Source organism: Homo sapiens, chromosome 3 (assembly GCF_000001405.40).
Source record: "Homo sapiens chromosome 3, GRCh38.p14 Primary Assembly".
In the NCBI taxonomy this organism is placed as follows: domain Eukaryota; kingdom Metazoa; phylum Chordata; class Mammalia; order Primates; family Hominidae; genus Homo; species Homo sapiens.
Window position 1 is genome coordinate 120,406,199 of NC_000003.12, and position 23,071 is coordinate 120,429,269.

The 23,071-nt window shown below is 45.2% G+C and overlaps 1 protein-coding gene, 1 long non-coding RNA gene and 1 pseudogene across 4 annotated transcripts in view, besides 2 other annotated features; 1 reads left to right on the forward strand and 2 right to left on the reverse strand.

Moving 5' to 3' along the window:
* Window positions 1-17,180, forward strand: part of BTNL12P (butyrophilin like 12, pseudogene) — a 73,965-nt pseudogene extending 56,785 nt beyond the window's left edge. Inside the window, exons 4-5 of one of the 2 annotated variants that reach the window (NR_187255.1) lie at window positions 9,603-9,740; window positions 16,977-17,180. The product of NR_187255.1 is annotated as a butyrophilin like 12, pseudogene, transcript variant 2 (transcript). Of the gene's footprint in view, window positions 1-9,602; window positions 9,741-12,867; window positions 13,489-16,976 lie in introns of those variants that run through there. The other variant, NR_187254.1, reaches the window with a different exon arrangement.
* Window positions 1-23,071, reverse strand: part of FSTL1 (follistatin like 1) — a 58,700-nt gene that overhangs the window by 13,906 nt on the left and 21,723 nt on the right. Inside the window, exons 3-6 of the mRNA NM_007085.5 lie at window positions 9,725-9,829; window positions 5,656-5,785; window positions 4,754-4,786; window positions 3,334-3,464 (exon numbers count right to left, since the gene is read on the reverse strand). Coding sequence (NP_009016.1) covers window positions 3,334-3,464; window positions 4,754-4,786; window positions 5,656-5,785; window positions 9,725-9,829 — 399 coding nt within the window. The remainder of the gene's footprint in view (window positions 1-3,333; window positions 3,465-4,753; window positions 4,787-5,655; window positions 5,786-9,724; window positions 9,830-23,071) is intronic.
* Window positions 7,489-8,171: an enhancer, noted in NCBI's record as "H3K27ac hESC enhancer chr3:120132534-120133216 (GRCh37/hg19 assembly coordinates)". NCBI's record gives its function as "activates a minimal SCP1, AML or CMV promoter by ChIP-STARR-seq in naive H9 embryonic stem cells {active_cell/tissue: H9 hESC(naive)}" and the evidence as "EXISTENCE:reporter gene assay evidence [ECO:0000049][PMID:30033119]".
* Window positions 10,904-11,073: an enhancer, noted in NCBI's record as "active region_20333". NCBI's record gives its function as "activates an Ori minimal core promoter by ATAC-STARR-seq in GM12878 lymphoblastoid cells {active_cell/tissue: GM12878}" and the evidence as "EXISTENCE:reporter gene assay evidence [ECO:0000049][PMID:35858748]".
* The window catches only part of LOC124900546 (uncharacterized), a 33,418-nt gene continuing 21,385 nt past the window's right edge, over window positions 11,039-23,071 (reverse strand). The window contains exon 2 of the long non-coding RNA XR_007096030.1: window positions 11,039-17,878. This is a non-coding gene — a long non-coding RNA (uncharacterized LOC124900546). The remainder of the gene's footprint in view (window positions 17,879-23,071) is intronic.

Below are 23,071 nucleotides of genomic sequence, written 5' to 3' on the forward strand. Positions count from 1 at the left end.
TCCTTTATTCACTATACAATTTTCCCTGACGAAACTTCCCTGTTTACCTTGTGAAGTCTTGATTAATTAATGGAAAATAATTAAATAAGTTTGGCTGGGGGCCATTGTTAGTAGCACAGGGCTTTCTTGAGTTCAAATATTGCATGTGCTGGGTAAATGACAGCAACCCTCAAAGACTCCAGTGTCATCAGGGCCTGATGATGGAATGAGTGTAGGGAGGGGAAACGTCCAGCACTAGCTACAGACCCAGTGCCACATGGCCCAAGTGGGCACCATGAACCTGGCAACCACAGTCCAGGCAGCTCTCAAAAGGCAGTGCTGTGTACACACACTTCAGTAGGACTAGAATAAGGCCTGCAGCTGGGGGAAGGTCCAGCCCATGTGCTTTCTCAACTCATGAGGGTCCAGTTGGGCCTCCCCAGGCCAGAGTTGTATGTAGAATCCACAGGAACACAGAATTCTGGTGCCTGCCCCAGAAATAGCCTGGAATGCCTGGGGGGTCTGCCTGTGAGGTCCTAATCATGGACCATGAACCAACCTAATTTATTGAGCCTCTCTTCAGCCAGTCAGTTACAAAGACATAATATCTCTCTGTGCCTCTTTCCCCAGCTCTATACAGGTTGATTATCCCTTATCTGAAATGCTTGGGACCAGAAGTGTTTCAGATTTCAGATTTTGGAAAGTTTAAATATGTATAATGAGATATCTTGGGGATGGGATCCAAATGTAAACATGAAATTCATCCCTGTTTCCTATATACCTTACACATATAGCCTGAAGGTAATTTTATACAATAGTTTAAATCATTTTGTGCATGAAACAAAGTTTTGACTGTGTTTTGAATGCTACCCATCACATGAATTCAGGTGTGAAATTTTCCACTTATGGCATCATGTTGGTGCTCAAAAAGTTTCAGATTTCAGCATTTGAGGTAACAAAACTTTTCCTCTATCTAACTGTAGGGTTGTGGAAAGGCAGAAAAGATGTATGTCATGAGATCTGTTCTTGGGGCTTATCAATGTAAGTTTGGAGACTCTTCAGAGGAGATGGGCTGAGACAGGCACTTGCTTGTGCACAGCAGCTGGGGCTGTGTGGGCTGTGGTGCCAGGGTAAAGGAGATAAGAAGGCTGGCTCAAGTGTCAGCCCTGGCCATCAGGAGCCACAGGGATTGAGATCACACCCAGATGAAATTAGGAATGGATTAGATTCCAAATTCCAAGAGCATGGAAGGCTCTTTCTACCTGGGTCTTTCTTTCTTCATTCTGTTACGCTTTCACCTAAGAAACAGTGACTACATCACTGGTTATGGTGAAAGTCAGATTTTGGCCTTATTCAAATTCTAATTCAATTTGGTTTTTGAACAATTTTGATGTAAGAAATGCCAGCTGGGCTGGGGAGCATTTCATTGGTTCATAACAGTCTCTTTGAGATATCAGACCTCTCACCAACAGGCAGCTGCTGACCTAGGAGGAGGCAGTCTCCCTTTGAAGACAGCAGCATGTAAGACTCTGATAATCATCAAAAAGTAGAAAATGAAACCTGTTTTCTCCTGTTAGACACTGCCAGAGTGTCTGGGAAGAGGGGATTTTGTGTCTGTCAGTCATGATCAAGCTTTCTTAGATGCCTGGTTGTGAGAATGTCCTAGAGAAGAGCTACTTTCCCAAAGGGCCTTATAGCTTTCAGAAGGGAGCCTGTAAAAGTGAGTTACTGCTGGAGGAGATGGAGATGTGTTGAGGGGAATGTGGCATAGGTTCTTGGGAATCAAATCTAATAGCAGGTGTCAGTGATGCCTGAGGCAGAGTGCCATCAAAGGGCCACTAAAAAATGGTTACAACGTCCTAAGTGGCCCCTGGGAAGGAGTGTCCTGGGCCCCACACCTCCTATGCTGTAATTGCAGGGCAAAGTCACTGCTCACACACAGCAGGCCCTGCAGGTACCTTTACCATTCGCTCAGCTTTTGAACAGTCACTTTCTTTACATTACTTTCTGTTCCTGTCCAAGTCTCCTGGCTCAGCACTATGATGTGTTTTTCTGTAGAAGAGGAACCATTCTTCCTCTAAGGGCTCTGTAATGTGGGAGTGATTGAGAGAGAGGACAGAGCAAGAAAGGCTGTGCTTTTTCATCTGGGTATGATCTCAAAAACTTGGAATCCAGAGATTTAGTATCTGCCATAGAGGAGAGAAATCTCTATGTAAAAATGACACAAGTGAAGTCTTAAATGACCAAATATCCATTTGAAGCCAACCCAGTATTTCTTCATCTGCGGGTTCTATAGTGTCAGAAAGAGAAATCCACAGACTAGACTGGCATTGGCCACATTAGGTGGCCTCAGAGCTGCCAAGAAAAGTCCTTCATGTGTCTGAAGTTGCTCCTGAGTCCTGGCTGGGTTGGGCCCTGGAAGCATGTGAGGGAGTAGATGGCTGGGGCATCTACCTAGTGAAGAGGGCTTTGGTGCTTGCATGGAAATGTGGGTATCTGAATGTGTCTGCATGTAGGATGTGTCTCTGTGTGGCATGTGAGTCTCTGTATGTGGTGTGTGTGTGCGTGTCTGGCATGTTTTGAGTTTAAGTGTGTCCTTCTCTGTGCTTCTGAGTGTGATATTCTGAGTGTGATGTACCTGTGTGTGTGTCTGTTCTTGTCAATCAGCTGTAAGAATGCCCTTAATTGCTTCTTCTAACTCTCAAGTTCTGTGAAAGATCTGCATGGCATGATAACCCGAGCCATCACTAAATATTATAGCTTCCTTCATTTCTCTTTGTGAAAATAGCATCTCTCCTGCTCCCAAGTGGAACACTCTGTCTCTTCAACTAATTATGATTGGGAACAGCAATATCTAAGTTCAGGAACAATCTCTGGACCCATGAAATGCCAGTCCATTGATTCTTCTCATATGAAGACTCTCTCCAAGCCATTGGCAGTCAAGTTAATGACTTAGAGAAATGTCAAACTAGGCAGGAAAGAGGCCAAAGTGGTCCAGGTCTGGGTGCAATCAGAGGGAATTTTGTATTAACAGCCAGATCCATAAGGTGTCATGGCGAGTAGGGGACAGAGCTTGGCCCTAACTGACAGGTTCTCCAAGACCTTTGTGGCTTTCACTGCCTGAAGGCAGCAGCACATGTGTGTTAGATCCCAAAGACTCCACTGCTTACTCCCACTGATCAAGCTGGTCAGAAGGCAACTTTCACAGCTTCATGAATGATCTATGATGAGGAAACTCAGGGTGTCTGTGCAGGTTTACATTTCCTGTGGTCTGGGAAGGTGTGATCGGGCAATGGGAGGAGGAAGCTTCCCTTTCTATGGGCCTGAATAGTCTTCCTCCTACCTCTGGATTACCTTAAAATACTTGTCTAGGATTTCACTGTAGTTGCTGCCTTTAGAGAACCAGCCATCTGGAATGATCTCAGCTTCCAGCCACTGGATGATGCGACGTCGGAGCTCATCACGGTTGGACTGATAGCAAACAACTGCAGGAAAGTGGAGGATGTCAGCTGGAGCAGTCAGGGGAGGACCCCAGTGATATCTGGCACCCACTGTGTGGGAGCATCCGTGCCCATGGTTCTGCATATGTCATCCCAGCAACACAGGGAGATAGGATTAGCACATCCAGGGTACACAACTGGAAAAAGTCTAGCCCAGGATTCAAGCACCCATCTCTAAAATATTTGTAAAGATTGAGAATATTGAAACAGAGAGATTTTGCTGCTTATGTGAGAAATAACTAGAGCAGAAAAATAATAAAGGATACTTTCATTAACTTTAGGAAGCTGAAGGGGAAAAAATCAATAAAGCAGCTCTCTTGACTCAAAGATGAGCTGAAATAATACATGAATAAATGAGAATATTACAGTTTTTATGCTACTAGATTTCTGATTTTCTCCAGTTTCTCCCTTTCTCACCAACTAGGTCCATCCAAACTTCCCCCCACTTACAACTGTATACCACCTGCATCATCCTTTATTATGAACAACAGAATGTGAAGGCCAGTGAGGGCTACGTCGAAGCCCTGCTCTGGACAGCTGTTGTCCACTGGAAATAACAGGGGGTGCTGAGAGTTGAGTGGATGGGGAAGCAGAGGAGAGAAAGCTTTGGCAAAAGAGAATTCCTGGAAGACAACACATGCTGTGGGTGAAAAGGGCACTGGGCCAGGGGAATGAAAATCTGGGAGTTCTTCCCCAGTCTGCCAATTACTAGCTGTGTGATATAGAAAACTCACTTAGCCTCTTTGAGCCTCAATTTCCTCATCTATATGGTAATTACAATAAGATCTACTTCACAAAGGCTACCGTGAGAATCTAAGGAAAGTATGTGCAAAAAAGCTCTGTAACTATAAATCATGATAAAATTTTAGTGATCACTAATAGAAAACCACAGAAGTCTTACTGGCATTTCCAGTTATCCCCTTTCAAAAAGAGTTGTGCCTTCTATTTGCTGGTCCCATGACACGAGCATGTCTTATAGGATGTTGAAAAATGAACTCAGTGGCTTTCCTGTTTATGCAGTTCAATCACTACTCAGGAAAAATGGGAAAACACAGCCAACATTCTGACCCAACCAGCTGCTTCAATTGGCAAACACATACACAAATGTAGTTTTGCAGCTTTTCTGAGCTGTGTTGAGGAGTGGCCAGTTCTGGGACACAATTCTGATGCATAGAAGATCTTATGAGCTTGGCAGGGATTGTGGAACACAAAATTTCTATCATGAAAAGAATGTCCTCCCTGAGATGCACACAGTAGAAAAAATAGGCACTCACCTGGGCTGGCAGATGGACTTACGGATTTCTTCTCTGCAAGACAAAAAGAGAAAACGTGTAATGCGAAGTGAAGGAAAAAAGAAAATTTTTCTGTATTTCTAGGATTACAGCTGCTCTACATGTAGGGGAATGTTTGTAACCTTTTCATCATTTTGTCTTGAATCCTTTCCCTTCCTTTCCTTCTTCTAGGGCCCAGGTATGAGGATCTTCTGTCTCCTGCTTTGTCTGACAATTTAGGGCCACTGAGTTACCCTTCTGGCCTCATACCTCCTCCTGTTGCATTGAGGGGTCACTGGGATTTTGAGAATTCAAATGGAGAATCATTCTGGACAGGGAATGGAGTGGAGACAATCACCTGGGAAACAGCTTCTTGTTTCTTCAAGGAAGGGCAAGGCTGAGAGGGGCTGGGCAGGGCTATGGCTTGGCAGGGGGCTGGTATCTAATTAGCAACAAGTGTGGGACTTCTTCCTTCTTATTCTAATGGCAGTGGTTTCAGTGCAAAATAGAGGAAACAATACTGAGAGGTGCCCAAATTAAAAAGCATGGGAAAAGTGAAACTTACCTACTTTCTAAAAAGGTACATAATTCATTTAAGGAACTTTCTTATTGTTACTGATTTACTGATGGGGTCCACCCTATCTACTATCCAGCTGCAGACAGTGCTGAAAACCCCCATGGGGATCTGATATAGCAAACCCTGGGCAGAGGCCTGGGCCATCCAGGGCAAACCCAGCAGGCTCATAAGTGACAAGAGGATGCAACTCCAACCAACTGGGCGCTTTCCACAGCTTTGAGAGGCTGTGGTCGTGGAGGAAAGACCATGTGGTCAGCCAGGCCACACTGCTCTGTTCCTTGGCTCCCCGTGGCTAAAGCTGCCTTGCAGTGGTGAGAGCACACCTTACCTTTGCAGTGTCCATCGTAATCAACCTGGATTTTGGATCCAGTGAGGCAGGCATCTCGATGCAGTTCACAGTGGTTGAGGTAGGTCTTGCCATTACTGCCACACACAGGCCTCTTGTGAGGTTTGCATTGCTGAAACAGACCCAAAAGAGAATGTTTGTGCAGTTATGGATATCGACACACAGACACACACACACACATACATGCACACACACACACAGAGCCATTTTGTAAGGGGACTCTCCACCACCAGAGATGGTGCTTCTACCCCATCAGGGCACAGGCAGTCACAGTTCTGGCCAACTGACCCTGTCTCAGTTGCCTATGGCCCTTCATGCCTATCCTGGTCCAGGGTCATCTCTTCTATTCAGTGAAGAAAGAGACACCCTCTATAGTTTCAATGTTTGTGATCCCTCCAAAATTCATGTTGATACTTAATCCACAATGCAAAAGTATTAAGAGGTGAGGCCTTTAGGAGGTGATTAGGTCATGAGGACTCCTCCCTTGTGGATGAGGTTAAGAAGTGAATAAAACAGTCTTCCTACAGCATTTGGCCCTTTGGCCCTTCTGCCTTCTGCCATGTGAGGATGCCACATGCAAGGTGCCATCTTGGAAGTTAGAGACCAGGCCCTCACCAGACATCAAATCTGCTTGCACCTCAATCTTGTACTTCCCAGCCTCCAGAACTGTGAGAATTAAATTCTTATTATTTATTAATTACCCAATCTCAGATATTTTGTTATAGCAGCCCAAACAAACAAAGACACCCCCCACATCAAATGAGCAGAAAGGGCGTTTTATTAAAAGCCAGAAATTTGAATTCTCTGTCACTTTGGAAAAAGTAATTTAATGTCTCAGAAGATCTAAGATCCCTTAATATTCCAACATTCAATGACACAAAACAGCCAGAGCTGAGAGCTGGGAATGTGGAGAGGCTGATAGGCAGGCAGGCAAACACACACACATGTGCGCGCGCGCGCGCGCGCGCACACACACACACACACACACACACACACACACACACTCCAATTCTTCTGCAGCCTAACTGTAAGGATCTCTTGCTGTATATACTATTGGGGGAACACTTTGTTTTCCTCCTGATCTCAAGCCTTTGTTGTGAAGCTAGGAGTAGGGTTGCCTGGGTCTTTGTGAAGTACTACAGAGAATCATTATGGACAGGGAAATGGAACAAAGTTCATATGGCAACTAGGTTATGCTTTGGCTGCTGAAGGTGCCAAGATCACAGGCAAGTTCAGTTTCTTTGGACTTCTATGGTTTTTAAAGGGGAGAAGCAGGAAGTAAATTTAGCTCAGATCCAATAAAGAAAGGAACTGAAACAAGAAAGAGCAGATGGTAAAAAGAAGCACAGAGCACTGGAAGTGGATGGCAGCCCAACCTTTCCAGTTTTAGTTGAGGATACCAAAAACACAAATTTCAGTGAACCAATATTTATTATGGAGTGCTCACTATGTGCTGGGCAACGGGCAAAACCAAATGTGGGCACTGTCTTCACAGCATCTCCTGAGACCTCAGGTTTGGTCTCAGCTCACCCACATCTAGTTGTACAATTTTTAGGATCAGGTTTCTAGATCCTAAGTCCAGGCTTATGCCACCACACTGTGGCCAGGTACACTGCCAGTGAGGACCTCCCAGAGCTAATGGATCCCCAGTAGGATCTGGCTTTTAGGTTTCTGAGTTAGAAAACTTCCTTTCTGGGGCAACAAATCAGGATCCTTAACCTGGGGACTAAATTGGTTGTATTTAATTTGCAGAAAGACGTGTTTCCAGGCTATGGGTTGTTTTGACAGAAAACAGAATGTCCAAGGTATTTATGTTCACTTTAGTGGCAGAACTTGTCAGAATCCAGCCTACAAAAGAAGTATTTATCAAAGGCTCTCTTTGTTTTTTAAACATTAAAAAAAAAACTCCCTCTCCCTCTCCCCCTCCCCCTCCCTCTCCCTCTCTTTCCACGGTCTCCCTCTCATGTTGAGCCGAAGCTGGACTGTACTGCTGCCATCTCGGCTCACTGCAACCTCCCTGCCTGATTCTCCTGACTCAGCCTGCCCAGTGCCTGCGATTGCAGGCTTGCGCCGCCATGCCTGACTGGTTTTGGTGGAGACGGGGTTTCGCTGTGTTGGCCAGGCCGGTCTCCAGCCCCTAACCGCAAGTGATCCGCCAGCCTCGGCCTCCCGAGGTGCCGGGATTGCAGACGGAGTCTCGTTCACTCAGTGCTCAATGGTGCCCAGGCTGGAGTGCAGTGGCGTGATCTCGGCTCGCTACAACCTCCACCTCCCAGCCGCCTGCCTTGGCCTCCCAAAGTGCCGAGATTGCAGCCTCTGCCTGGCTGCCACCCCGTCTGGGAAGTGAGGAGCGTCTCTGCCTGGCCGCCTATCGTCTGGGATGTGAGGAGCCCCTCTGCCTGGCTGCCCAGTCTGGAACGTGAGAAGCGTCTCTGCCCGGCCGCCATCCCACCTAGGAAGTGAGGAGCACCTCTTCCCGGCCGCCATCACATCTAGGAAGTGAGGAGCGTCTCTGCCCGGCCGCCCATCGTCTGAGATGTGGGGAGCGCCTCTGCCCGGCCGCCCCTACTGGGAAGTGAGGAGCCCCTCTGCCCGGCCACCACCCCGTCTGGGAGGTGTGCCCAACAGCTCATTGAGAACGGGCCAGGATGACAATGGCGGCTTTGTGGAATAGAAAGGCGGGAAAGGTGGGGAAAAGATTGAGAAATCGGATGGTTGCCATGTCTGTGTAGAAAGAAGTAGACATGGGAGACTTTTCATTTTGTTCTGTACTAAGAAAACTTCTTCTGCCTTGGGATCCTGTTGATCTGTGACCTTACCCCCAACCCTGTGCTCTCTGAAACATATGCTGTGTCCACTCAGGGTTAAATGGATTAAGGGCGGTGCAAGATGTGCTTTGTTAAACAGACGCTTGAAGGCAGCATGCTCATTAAGAGTCATCACCACTCCCTAATCTCAAGTACCCAGGGACACAAACACTGCGGAAGGCCGCAGGGTCCTCTGCCTAGGAAAACCAGAGACCTTTGTTCACTTGTTTATCTGCTGACCTTCCCTCCACTATTGTCCTATGACCCTGCCAAATCCCCCTCTGTGAGAAACACCCAAGAATTATCAATAAAAAATAAATAAATTAAAAAAAAAAGAAAGAAAAAAAATCTTTAGCTCTATTTAGAGATCTCTGCAACGTTCTTTTAATTTCTAAATTATTGCTTTTATACAATGGAATAAATACATATTCATGTTTGTTTTTCAAAAAAAAAAAAACATTAAAAAAAAAAAACCCTGCATCTCATCTACTGTTTTTAAAAATTTGCATATCCTCTGACCTAGCAAGCCCTGGTGTCAATCAATGCTACAGAAATAAAGGCAGGGGCATATAAGGGTATTTGCACAAGGATGTTATTGGTTATAGTGGTAAACAACCCAAAGAACCAACTGAATGTCCATCTATGGGAAAATGATTGAATAAATCTAGTTCTTTTATATTACTAAACATTATGCCACTACAATGAGTTAAATGAGTTAAAAGTATATGTGCTGATCTAGAGGGTTGTCCCTGATAAATTAATGAGTAAAGAATACAAACTGTATATATCTATATCCATATCATGATCCCATTTTTGCATAAAATAGGGGGAACCATTATGTCTACAGTAGCATATAAACCCTATGCTTATAGTAACATAGAAAAGAAAAACATGTGGAACATGTATCAAATTGTTAACGCTGGTTACTTCAGACTAAGGGATTGAAGGGTTATGGGGGAAGATTATAATTTTATGCTTGTGTAAATGTCTGTACTATTTGACTTATATAAAACAATTCTTATTTTTTAATTAAAAAATCTTATAAAGCTAAATTTTTTTAAAAGAAAAAATATCCATGCTTTAAAAATCAGGAATCTGGAATAAGAATTCCACGTTTTTCAGGGGGATGAAGAATGCTTTTATAAAGAGAATGAAATCATTGGCACTGCCTGCTGATGGGTGGCTCCGCAAGGTACCACATTGGCCTTGGCCACTGTCCTCTGGCTCCCGACATCAGGACTTACCTCAATGCAGAGACAGGTGGGTTCCCCTTTCTCTGTGACTGCACATTCCCGGCCGGCTCCACAAAACACATTGGCACAGATCTTGGATTTGCTCCTTAGCTCTTCCTAAAACATACAATCATAAAGGAAACCGTGTGACTGAGATGAACCCATTATGGAATGAGCCCATAATGAGATTATCTTTCAGGCTTGGGCTTTGCTCTGGAGTCATGGCTCATGGTCTTAAACAGCTAGATGTTGGGTCTTAAACAGCTGTTGGAGACGTTGCCTCCAACAGCTAGTGCCCTACTCCCAGATACTGCTTCAGCCCAGGTTCAGGTACTTCTGAGTCCCTAATATGTTTCTCAAAGAGCAAGAGTTCCTTTCTTGCATGCTTCCTTTCTTCTAAAAATGCTTGTTGAGCACCAATTTTATGCCAACACTACGCTGAGATGGAGATACAAAGGACAGACCCTGTCCTCAGGAAGCTCCATGACTCTCAGAGGAAACTCACAAAGAAAGAGACATTTGGAAAACAACACAGGAAGTGCAAGAACAGGATCACCAGGGAGCTGGAGGGGAGGAAGAGGGTGAGAATTTTTCAAAGGATACTTTCTGAAGATACTAGGTCTTAACTGATTCTTAAAGGGTGAGAGGAGTAAGTCAGGCAGAAATGGAAACATTGTACAGAACTATGACTATCTGAAGGACCCAAACCTGACTGAATGGTGTTCTAGGCATTATCATCTCAAAGGGCAAAAGAAGGATGGCTAAACCATTGGAAACGTGGATTCGCTATTTTTGCTATGGTCCCATTTAGCCCCTACCCATGTCTGCCACTGTCTTCAAGATTAAGAGGGCGAAGCTGCCTGAAAGTAGAACTATTCTCAAATCATTTGCTAGTCAGGCATTCCCCTGTTCAGACGTGTGCAGCAGAACTGACAAGGCAGGGAATGGTCTCAGTGTATGCCACCTGAGAATGTGGGGGTATTGACAGGCACTGATCTGTTGGTGGCTCATCCCTTCCCTCCCATTCACTGGTGGCAGAAAGCCAGCCCCACCTCATTCACCACTCAACCCAGGGGTAGTGGTGGTTGCATGAAGGAGAATGTGATTTCCCCAGCTTCTCATCCTGACTGGCTGGGCAGGCAAAATCACGAAAGACCTCCAGACTCAAGGCTACTGGGCTAGATGCTGTGACAAAACCAACAAAGACTGCAGGAGGCACGATGGGGTCATGGGGCTGGCTGGGGTAAGGCAGGGATGGAACCAGACAGTCCACCCTCCAGGCCATGTCTACCACATTATGCAGAGAACTCACACCCACAAGTCTTGTAACAGTACAATTCTTATAGTTGGTGAATGTTTTATACTCAAGATTAGGGGAAAAAAGCAAAAAGAAAGAAGAGGCTTTCGAGCTGAGGTGCTGTATCCAATACAGCTAGTCTGCTGCCACCCAGAGGCTGCTCTGCAAACTCCAGGTCATTATTTTCTGTCCCAAGCCAGCTTGCTGGTCATGCAGGGCTCCCATTGGTCTAGAAGCCGTTCTCAGCTCACATTTCATTGGTTCACATGCTGTTGATAAACCAATTCTTTTTTGAATGTTGCTAAGGCGAATTCAAGAAAGCTAGCAGGCGGGGAAGAAAGAGGAAGTAATTCCCAGAAGTCCGCGGGGATTGGAGAGCTTTTGTTTTCCTAAACAGAGAGTGGAGATAAAAATCAAGGATATTCTCCAGGCAGGGCCCTCTTGTGGAAACTGTGCCTGACAATGTAAGGCAACACGAAAAAGGAAGAGGAAAAGGTTTTTGCTGACGAGTTGTTCCCATGAGTTATGGACACACAAATGCATAAAAAAGCATGCTCAGACACATGCCTGCACTCAAAGACACCCGCACACAGCTCCACAGGCAAACACCCACAAACCTCCACTCACTAGTCTCTGTCCTTAACTAGTAATTTTCATTCTTTAAGGCTCACATGTCCTCATCTATAAAGTAGGGGTAAATGCCAACCCTGCCCTGCGGAGATTCAGTGAGATACATGTGGAAGTACCAACTGTAAAACAAGCTGCATATGAAACCTGTTATTCATGGGAATGCCTTATAGAGCTACTTGCAGAAAAGCCTGTGGCATGTATGGAACCTCCTTTTAACTTACATTGTTGTTTTTAGTAAGTATTAAAAACGGATTGAATTAAACCAAGTCATTTTTCAGGAATAGTTCTCAAAAATCCATTTGAAGAAACAGATAACTTTTGAGTTATAACAACTAATATTTGAATAGTACAATTTACAAAATGTTTTCATACACATGATTTTGTCTTATAGGGAAACCCTGCAAGAATAGGTATATTATTATTAACCCTATTCCATAGATGAGGAAATTGAAGACCAGAAAGGTCAGATAACTTGCCCAAGTTTCCAAAGCTAGAAATGAGAGGAGCTAGGATTCCAACTCGTATCTTCAACCACTGATAACTAAACTCCCATTTATAAATATCCGGCATCCTACTATTTTTATTATATGTGATTTAAGCTCTTCAATAACTCCTTAAGTTAGACATCATTACTAGCCCCATTTCACAGGTGAGAGAGCAGAGGCTTAAATAACTAGAAAGTGGCAGAGCTAGAATTCTGCCCAAAGGGAAAGCAGTTTATATTTGATTTATTTTCATATCCAGATGACGTAAGGAAATTATGATGGGGGTGTGAGTTGCATAATTAGCAAGTGTCGGGAGAATGTGCGTTAAGAGTGCGTCAGAGATTTAGGTTTAAATTACCCACATCCCACCTCTATTCCTTACTTGCTGGTCGTGGGCCAGGTGCTCTCTTTAAACCTCAGCTTCCTCGTGAAAACTGGGAGTACTGATTCTTAGAGGGTTGTTGTGAGGATTAAACGGGATGTACTGCAGGCAGCACAGTGCCTGCCACACAACTGAAAGTGGCTATTACTACAGTGGGCAATTTATTTTCAGACAACTTTCCCACTGAGATGCTGTCACTACCACCTTGGGCTGTCATGTCCCCGTTTTTCCCTGTCCTCCCTTGCACTGCAGTGATAATAGAGAACAGAAGGACTCACTGAATGGAAAAAACAAAAGGCCCGTTTGAAGAGCACACAGAGAAGGGGGGAGCCACTAGTTACACAATCATTCCTCTTTGCAGGTGACACGTCTGTCAATAGGTGGCAATCTCTCTCTGTCTTGCACAGCCCAGCACTGCAATGCAGAAGCGCAGTGTTGGCTCCTGCAGCTCCACCCAGCTCTGTCCTCGGAACAAGAAGTGGTGCAGGAGGTGGAAGAATAGGGTGGCTGCTCCAAAAACATGGGTAGGGGGATCTACCAATGTGGGGGAGGTCTCACCTGCAGCCTCATAGCCCTCCCCAGTGATCCCCATTCACAGGCATGCTTTGATGCAGAAATCAACAATGAAGAAAATTTTCTCCAGAGAGATAGGCTTTGTGCCATTGAAAGCTCTTCTCCAAGCCTCATCTTCTCTGGGAGTGGGAGTGTCAGGTGCATCCCCGAGGTGCCTAGAAAGTTGCTTAGGGTGGTGGGTAGTCTTACCCATCTACTGAGAAACTGATTCTGAGTGGGGGAAAAGAACACCTTGAGAGGGGTTGAACATGCTCATGGGTTCAACCCTTCTCGTGGTGAGGAAGAGGGAGATGAAGCAGGGTGGCAGGTGATGATGGGGAGAGGGGTGGCGCTCGATGGCTGACCTGAGGGGCTCTCCACAGCGACTATGAGAAGTGAGAACCTTGGAAGGTTTGGGATTGGGTAGGTAACATGATGGATATGGTGCTTTGGAATGTTAATTTGTGTTGGGTCCTTTCTGAAATTCTGATTCAAAGTGCAAGGCAGCCTGGATGGAGAGAGGCTGCAAGCAGGAAAACCGGCCAGGTTTAAGACTGTAATCTAGTCGGGGATGACAAGGGCCTAGGACCCAGGGCCAATGTTAATTTTAGCACCTTCAGCTGAGTGAGGCTCTGCAGATATCTCTGTCCTCACAACCTCTGTGCAGGTCTCTGTATTTTTAGTCCCATGTAACAGATGCAGAGGCATCGGAGAGTCAGGAAAGCTCTGTGACGCATGGAGGCCACATAACTAGTGAGAGCTGACTCAGGAATAGAACAAAGGCCAGTCTGACTCCAGAGCCTCAAGGTTCCCTCTTGGGGTACAATCAAGGCAGTGAGCTTTGGGGAGTGGGGACAGTTCCAAGGGCTGGCACAGGGTGAGGTCACAAGGTACAATGCAGTTCTTGCAAATAGAAGTGTTTGTTCTACCACTGTAATGATTTTAGGAATGAGGTCCCAAAGCAGTATGAGGACTTCATGTATGCGTAGATAACCACATTGGCACATGGATGTTTTCTAGGAGTATGAGGTCACAGGCAGGTCCAATATCACAAAAGTATGAACCTATAAGTCTAAATGTACCTGTGAGAATGTAATTGATTTGAGTGGGGGTAGAGGGTGTGTTTTGGAAGTGTGGACACTCAGATATATTGATAAAAATCAGCAAAATATCTGCCTGCAATGGAGAAACATCAGATTTCTAGCTTTATCCTTCTGCATCATCTTCCTGACCAGTCTCCGTGTTGTTTTCATTTCGTGTGTTGCAAGCCAAGCTCTGGAGATTTGGTCTCATTAATTTTCACATTGCAAACTCCCTTTGGTAGAAGACAGACTGGGAACATTCCTGACTTTTTACTAGGTAGAAAGTATCTGAGCAACGGTCAGCCATTGAATGGCAATATTCATACTTGCACAGCAATTCTGGTTGATCTGTAATTTTACTGTCATTTTTGATTCTTTTTAGATAGGCAGGCAGGGGATACCTCTGAGGCCCTTCTAGATTTAAGATCCTATGGTGAAAATAAAACTGAGGCTCACAGCTACATGTGACTGGTCCAAGATCTCACAGTTGTAGAATTGAGGCCTGGCCCTAGGTCTCCAGACTTTAATCCCAGCCTCTTTCCACTAAACCACTCTACCTCTTTACAAATCAAAGCCAGGAAATGTCTTGAATCCAAGGTCTTAAAAAATGGAAATGATTTTTGCAATCAAAAAAGATCTTTGCAAGCAAATGGAGAAGCAAGTTATTTGCAAAACTACCAGTAGAGGTGATCGTGCATCTGAGTCTCTGGGCCAACCAGAATTAAGTCTGAACATAAAATACACGTTGAATGTTTAAAAAAAAGTCTTCTGAAGTAAAATAATTTCTGGAAGAACAGTGTGCTTTGGCAGGAAAGGAAGCTTATAAGCAAAGCCATAAAACTGTCAGTTTAATATACCATCATTTCACTAACATGAAGTGGGCCGGCTCTGTCCCCTCCATTCTTTTCCTCCTTCCAACTCTTTTAAAAAAGAACAGCTCTACTTATGCCAAGGTGGAATTTTGGCTCTACTTGCCACTATTCTGCGACAGAGTGGCTTTGTTGACGTGAGAAAGGCTCTCTTTGCTTTGCCAGAATTAGTCATGGAAACTTCACAGGAACACCAGGGCCCCTCAGATATACACAGAATACCATGGAGCTGGGGACAAAGGAATTCACAGAACTGGGGAGAGCAGGGGGAGGTCTGCAGTGGGGCGTATGGGGTGAGATGCTGGTTGCTCCCAGGCAGCTCTTCTGGAACCCAGTAGCACAGGCCTGAGAAAAGCAGAGAGAAAGAGCAAAACCGCTTCAGGACCTTGAAACCTTGCTGGAGTATCTCATGACCTTGTTCAAGTCTCTCTTTTTTTCTGGAAAGAAATGTGTTGGTACATCCTGCATATGCTATGGACAGAGGAGGAGGGACTGGTGATTTCTAGCAGTGGTTCTGATGTGTGTGGCAGGGGGCACTGCATGTGTGCAGTCCCTGCTATAAGTTTCCCTTCCTTATATGTGCTCACAATCAGTCCCTCATCTCAAGGTTAATGCACTAGGGCCAAACCCTGGTTTTGTGGGGCCTCAAGCTTAAATGGTTTAGGGAGGGCTAAAAAAATATACAATTATAAATGCAAATTGGGTAAATGGCCTTGCAAGACCCTTGCAAATAAAAGGTCTGAAATCAAAGCTTAATTAGCTTCATGGTAATCCAACTCCCCATTTGCCCTATTATTTTCTTCATAAACAAAATCTTTCCAATAATGGCTTTTGGGTCCTTAGTCTATTAGAGAGAGTCCTATTCAATATCTGATGCACATATGGCTTATCTCAAGTAGACTCTAAGAGCCTTGCACACTTCAGCTTCCCCCAGACCCACCACAGTGTACTGCCTGAGAAAATGCTCAACAAATGGTTTGTATATTAAATGTCATTTGGGGGTACAAAGTTTCGGTTATGCAAGATGAGTAATTTTTGGAGATCTAATGTACAGCATGGCGATGATAGTTAATAATACTGTTTGTATACTTTTAATTTGCTAAGAGGATAGATCATAAATTAAATTTTCTCAACATGCACACACACAAAATGGTAACTATGTAGAGGTAGTGAATATGTTAATTAGCTTGATTATGGTGAACATTTCACCATATATATGAATATTAAAACATTAAAACATTTGTACACCTTAAATATATGCAATTTTTATATGTCAGTGATATCTCAATAAAGCTGCTTAAAAATAAACAAAAATTATTTTAAAATGTCATTTACAGTCTCTTCAGGTTAGTGCAGCAGCCAACAGTGGCACTTCGGATGTTTTTGGGTCAGTATGGCCAGGCTCCATGACATCCAGATAAGAGATATATCGCCTGACGAAGATTAGCTTTAAGATTTAAAAAAATCTATTATGAAGCTGTCAATCAATAATTTTTTTTTTTTTTGAGATGGAGTCTCGCTCTGGTGCCAAGGCTGGAGTGCAGTGGCACAATCTCAGCTCACTGTAACTTCCACCTCCCGGGTTCAAGCGATTCTCCTGCCTCAGCCTTCCCAGTAGCTGAGATTACAGGCACACGCCCCCATGCCTGGCCAATTTTTGTATTTTTAGTAGAGATGGGGTTTCACCATGTTGGCCAGGCTGGTCTCGAATTCCTGATTGCAAGTGATCCACCTGCCTCGGCCTTCCGAAGTGCTGGGATTACAAGCCTAAGCCACTGTGCCCGGTCAATCAAGAATTATTTAATTACCCTTTGATTAATTTCTATGTTTAGCCTCTATCACAGCTTATGGGATATAACATGTTCCTTTTACTACTCATTGCGTATTGTGTGCCTGGAAATTACTATATTCAAATTTCAAATGGGACAGTGATGTTTACCTCCACCATTTTCTTTATTATTTTACAGATTCTGTCACATTCTCTATGTGTCTTTTCAGACTGAAGAATCTAGGTTGGCTCAGGCCACCTTCACACGGAAGCCTCTCTCCTTCACTGCTGCTCACATGTCATCTCTGGAATGCCTCATGCTGCCTATGCTTAGAGCTTTCTTGAGGTGGCCCAGACACAGCATAGCACACTAGATGCTTGGTTTCTATAGAATGATCGGTTCCTGTGTTCTGCAATGGTCTTGTCTAGTCATAGCAGAAGTATAGCAGTATAGTAAGCACTTACAGAGTTAGAAACATGTTAGGCCTGTTCATATAGGGCTGAAAATCATCTCACAAAGATCTGTGAGGCTCAGGGATTCATCCCTGTTTGCACTGAGGAGACTGTGACTTCAAGAGCTGGGCCATGACTGAGGTAAGAGTCAGACCCAGGTGGCTCCAACTCCGGTACTTGAGAGAGGTGCTTCTGTTCTCATGGTCCACAGTGACGAGTTGGAGAGTCTCCCCTGTGACATACCACACCGCCTTCTCAACACAGGAACACCCAGTGACTCCACTGCTACTGACAGGGTCTTTCGGGCTCCCCATTATGAAAGCAACACTCCTCAGAGTGATTCTTAGGAGTTCCCAAGATATCTTGTCACTCTTCCTAAAAAATGTTTTTGTAAGGCTGCCACTAGTTTCATAATTTCACCCTTCGGTTTCTTAGGAAAGTCCAAGTGGAAGTTTCTAATACAGACCATTTATCTGCCCTGAATTAGCTTGTTAGGTTTGAATATGGTTCTTATTTTCTCCTCTCCAATTGTCTACCTAAGACTTGTCCACTTTGAAGGCCAATGTAGAGAGTATAAATCCTCCAGTCTTCTTCAGTAATGGCCAAGGAAAATGATTTAAACCCATCAAAATGCTATTTGATGAATGCCTGTAACAGCAAAACAAAAAAAGAGAACGGTCTGTAATGAGCATGGCGCAAGCTCCGTGGCATAAACCCAAAAGGGAGGCCTGGGTGCAGTGGCTCAAGCCTGTCATTCCAGCACTTTGGGAGGCTGAGGTGGGAAGATTGCTTGAGCCCAGGAGTTTGAGGCTGCAGTGAGCTAGGATCATGCCACTGCACTCCAGCCTGGGTGACAGAGTGAGACCCTGTCTCTAAAAATAACAACAAAAAACCCAAAAAGGAGCAGAGGATGTGGCTGCCCCCACCACAGGAGTGTCTAACCTAGTTGAGCTGATGAAACAAGAATACAGGCCAATGCAGTCCTAAGTAATGGGGCCGACTCCAGGAGATGGGACTTCATAGAAGAGATGGGACTTGAGCCGAGCTCTTAAGAAAGGTAGGATGTGGATGGAAAATCTATAGGTTTTTGAGCAGGAGAGTGTTAAGAAAAACATTTGAACAGTGGCACATGGCAAGAAATGGGTAAGGCGGAATTGGGGGCAGGCAGAAGGATATCAGTTGGAACAGGCCTGGGGTGATGACAGTTGCATCTACACTAGTGGTGGCATGGTTATAGAAGGAAGGGATCCAAGAGAGATCTCTACAGAATAACGAGGTCTGGCAACATCCTGAATAGAGAGAGGAAGGAGAGAGTCTGGGGGGCTGCCAGATCTTTGGCTTCTAGGGCCTGGAGGGTTGGTTGTGTGTCTCTATCAGAAATGAAGTCTGGGAAAGGTGTCCCGTGAGGGTGGGGTGGGCAATGATGAGTCAGTTATGGACGCGTCTCAAGGACAGTGAAACATCCCACCGACAGCTGCCAATATTGGCTAAAGATGCATATCTGGGCGTCACCTGTGTAGGGGTGAGAAATTGAGGCAGAGGAACAAATGAGCTCAGGAGAAAAAGGTGGGCATGGAAGGCCGAGGGCGGCTAGGGCGTGGAAGGAAAAGGGGGAGCACAGACAGCAGGAAGAGCAGCCCACAAGGGGTCTCTGTGCAAATCAGAAAAGGCACCTTTCTCTCCAGGAGATGCAGCACATGGCCAGGGTATGGGGCTTGGCTAGCAGAGTGTAGTTTGGATTTCAGCCCCTGTCACCTCCTCATGCAGTCAACAGCCTGCACAATGGTATGAGAACTCTGACAGCAAAGCAGCCGAGAGTAGAGTAGGAACATTCAGAGAATTGGGAGGAAAACCAGGAAGCCTAGAGAGCTCCCAGAAATGGATGATGAATGCCATGTAAGAGAAATCATTTGGCAAATGTCGGGATAAAACAGCCAAAAAAAAAAAAAAGCTTTTAAACTTCTGCTGAAACCTGAACTAGTAACCTGGAGTGTAAGCCAGGCAGAGGCAGTGATGTCCTGTGTAAGAAGAATTAATGCAGGAGGACTGAAATGGGCCCTGGATATATCTCTGCCTCTAACATATGGTGTGACATGGGGCAAGGTGCTTGACCTCTCTGGGCCTCAGTTTCCTCAGCTATAAAATGCAGAGGTTATAGATGATGCCTAAGTCCCTTAAGCTGTAAGAATTCTATTAATTAGAAAGCTCAGGAATTTACCACTTCAGATGTTCCTGAATATCAAACTTCACTCTCCCAAGGAAGCTAACCTAAATGGCCAAACTAAAGAAAGTGGTTATGTATACAGTCACATGAGGGTGTTGCTAGGTTCTGAAGGGGGGATTAAAGTTGGCTCTCATAGTCAAAGGATTCTCATAAGCAATGCCTTTTCATTCCCTCCCAGATCATGGCAGAGGGAATCAGGGAAGCAGTAATGGAACCCCAATTGAGTGTCCTGATTTTGTTTCTAGTGAACTGGGTGGAACCCTCTACTCCCCTAGAATACTATTAATAAATTTTTTATTCTACTTGCATTTGCCTTGCAAGGAGAAAAGGGAAGAAAAGAAAGGAGAGAAAGGCTAAAGGAAATTCACATGCGATTCACAATTCTTCATTCCTGCCAAGAACCTGTCACTGAAGTATGTCTGGGGCTGCCAGGGCTCACATTTACTCAGCATTCATGCTCTAATTATTTCCACATGTAGTTCAAGGAAAATGGTTGATCAAAAGTTTAAAAAAAAAATTCCCACACACCTAAATCCCAGTACCTTCAAATCAAAGAAGGGAGAAAGCTCTAGGGCAGCTGTGGGAAAATTCTCAAGACAGGCAGTTTTAGAAGCATCCCCTGCAGTGCCTGCCACATCTGGGCCAACATCCCTACACATTCCCATCCCTCCATCCCATGCAAGCCCACCCTCCACCCACCCCCAGCTTCCCAAGCCCTGAACCCATTAGGATTTGCATTCTTTGGAGTTCCAAGTGGAATGTAGGATTTATTCCCCTGATATGGTGGAAGGCAGATGAGATGGATATCGCCTAAGAGGTATCTAGTTCTCCACTCCACCCATTTTTGCCTTGGGTGCCACTGAATTTAAGTAGTCCCTGGGTGGTTCCTGATACCACAGACCTGCTGGGAATAGAATCCACTGTGGCAGAGAGCTTGCTTGCTTCCCTGAGCTGGAACAGTACCCCCATCACTTCTGTGGCTGCTTTCCATTACCCCAATTTGCACATGATTCCCCCTAAACCTGCAAGCCAAGCCACTATTCTCGACGGTGGTCCACATGCCCTGGCACTGAGTTGGATGCCCGACACTGTCACCTACTGCCTTCTACCTGGGCACTGTTAACAAAGTCTTTGGCATATGGCACAGGGCGTTTTTCCTCTCTCCTGGGTGACTTCATTGTTCATGTAGCCTCGAGATCTGTGGGCTCCTCACTTCGAGCAACCCTCCACTTCTTAGGGACCCTGGATACTGAAAGCTTTGGGAAGTGTCTGTAAGCAGAGCAGGTAGCCACAGCAGATTTAAGCTGTAAGTGGACTAAAATTTAAAAAAAGGGTCTAGGGCTCCCAAGGCTCTATGTTTTGAAATGAGAACTCATTAGCCTTTGAAAATGTCAGCATGATGAGGAATTGTCAGATGCTTCTTTAACCTTCAGATAGGCAGAGAATGTCCCACAAGACCACCTAAAAAAATAATGTCACCATCTGGGAAGTCTGATTTGTTGTCTGGCTTGCCCAAATTCTCCCTGTCCTTCAAGGCTTGGGTCAAGTTACACCACTCCATCCTCAGTGACCTTTTACTTTCTACTGGTATGAATTCCCCCTTCCTTCTCTGAACTTTGATTCCTCTTTGTATGAACTCATTTTGATCATTTATTTTTTTAAAAACAGAACTGACTGTGTGGATTTTGTCTTTCTGGCTGAACTACAAGCTCCTAGAGGACAAAGATTCTGTTTGTCCATCCTTTTGTAGGACCTAGTATACCTTGTGCCACTCCATTAACCTTTGTTGAAAGCAAAAAAAGGTGGATTGAACCACACTGCCCTGGGGACTTGGGATAGGGACAGAGAGGAACAACACCTGTGCCAACTCCTTTCCTGGGGCTGCTCCCTCCCAGAACTGGTCTTCTTTGAGGAAATACCCTAAAGACCCTGCCCTCCACCACCAGGCCATATATATTCAGCCTGGAATTTCACTAATTAGAGATTGTCTTAGGCCCACAGAAAGACATTGAAGAGTGTGTTTGTGCATGTGTGTGCATGCATATGTGTGTTAATGAGGTAGAAGAGCAACGGAGGACGAAAATGGCTTTCAGTCATTTCCTTTGTCCACAGTTTAAATATTTAACCTAACTGAGACATGCTGAGAGAATGAGAATTTGGTGAAGAGGAAGATAAGGTAATGTGGGAATGTGGGGTATCTCAGAGCAAAGCAAAATTGGGTGAGATTTCTGAGTATAGGGTAGGGGCAGCCAAAGAGCTGCCTGATACCTTGGGGGCCTATACTAGGGGGAAGTAGAGATGAAGAGAAGCAAGTGAGAAGGCAGGAGAAACTGTGGAAATGGGCTTATTATCTGAGGCCAGTGCTTTGCGTGAACTCTTCTGAGGAACCCCGCCCTTACACTGTCTTCTGAGGTAGAGGGAGACAGGCTGGCCAACATTTCTAGACCAGGAAAAAAGCTTCTTGCCTTGCTCTACCCCTCCTCCACTCCCAAAATATTCTGGGGATCTCTAACTACTCCCCTCTGTCTCATCCACTAGGCTGACCTTGCAGTGGGCTGGAATACACTGAAACACGAGTTGCCGGGACAGCAAAGCCTTAGGTGTGCCCACGTGGTTTATCTCCCCTTGGATTGGGCACATTAGTAAGAACTGTGATGCCCAACCAAGAGGTGAGACCATCTGATACAATGGTGGAGGCTGGGGGGATAGTAGGGATGTCAGGGTTGACTGAAACAAAATGGATCTGGGAGACCCAGCATAGCAAAGTAGCACCAGTCTCCACTTTAAAAACAAGGACAGGCCGGGCACAGTGGCTCATACCTGTAATCCCAGCCCTCTGGGAGGCCTAGGCAGGTGGATCACTTGAGGACAGAAGTTTGAGACCAGCCTGGCCAACATGGTGAAACCCCCCTCTCCATTAAAAATACAAAAATTAGCTGGGTGTGGTGACTTGCACCTGTAAATCCAGCTACTCTGGAGGCTGAGGCACGAGAATCGCTTGAACCTGGAAGGCAGAGGTTGCAATGAGCCTAGATTGCACCACTGTCCTCCAGCCTGGGTAACGGAGTGAGACTCTGTCTCAGACAAAAAACAAACAGCAACAACAACAACAACAACAACAAAAAACAGGGACAAAGTCCTGGGAATCTCTGGGGGTAGTGTGGCTGCAAAGCAGTTAAGGTTCCAGCATCCTGGCAATTATTCTCTAGCCTAAGGATGCAGACAGGGTTAAAACCCAGCAAGAAACTCAAAGCTAAATGAAGTCTCCATATGTGTGGCTCAGTAGGGTTCTAGGAGAAGCAGACAGATGTAATTAGAAGTTCTCAGACATTGTGTTGCCACAGCAACTGCTGGCCAGGAAGAAAGTGGGGAAAACCTGGAGTCCGAGGAATACAGTCTTCCAAGGAAATGCCAGTGGTGTTCATCATGCTTGGGCTTCATGGCTGGCTCCTCCAGCTTGCCCACGCCCAGGCTCTAGAAGGCCCTCTCCCTCAAATTCCTCCTAATCCCCATTCCCACCCCTGGAGCAATTTCAAATGCACATCAAGGGCTCCCTTCAGAGGGCATCCAAAGGAAGGAATGAGGAACTCTCAGAGGAGAGTTTGTGCTGAAGAGTA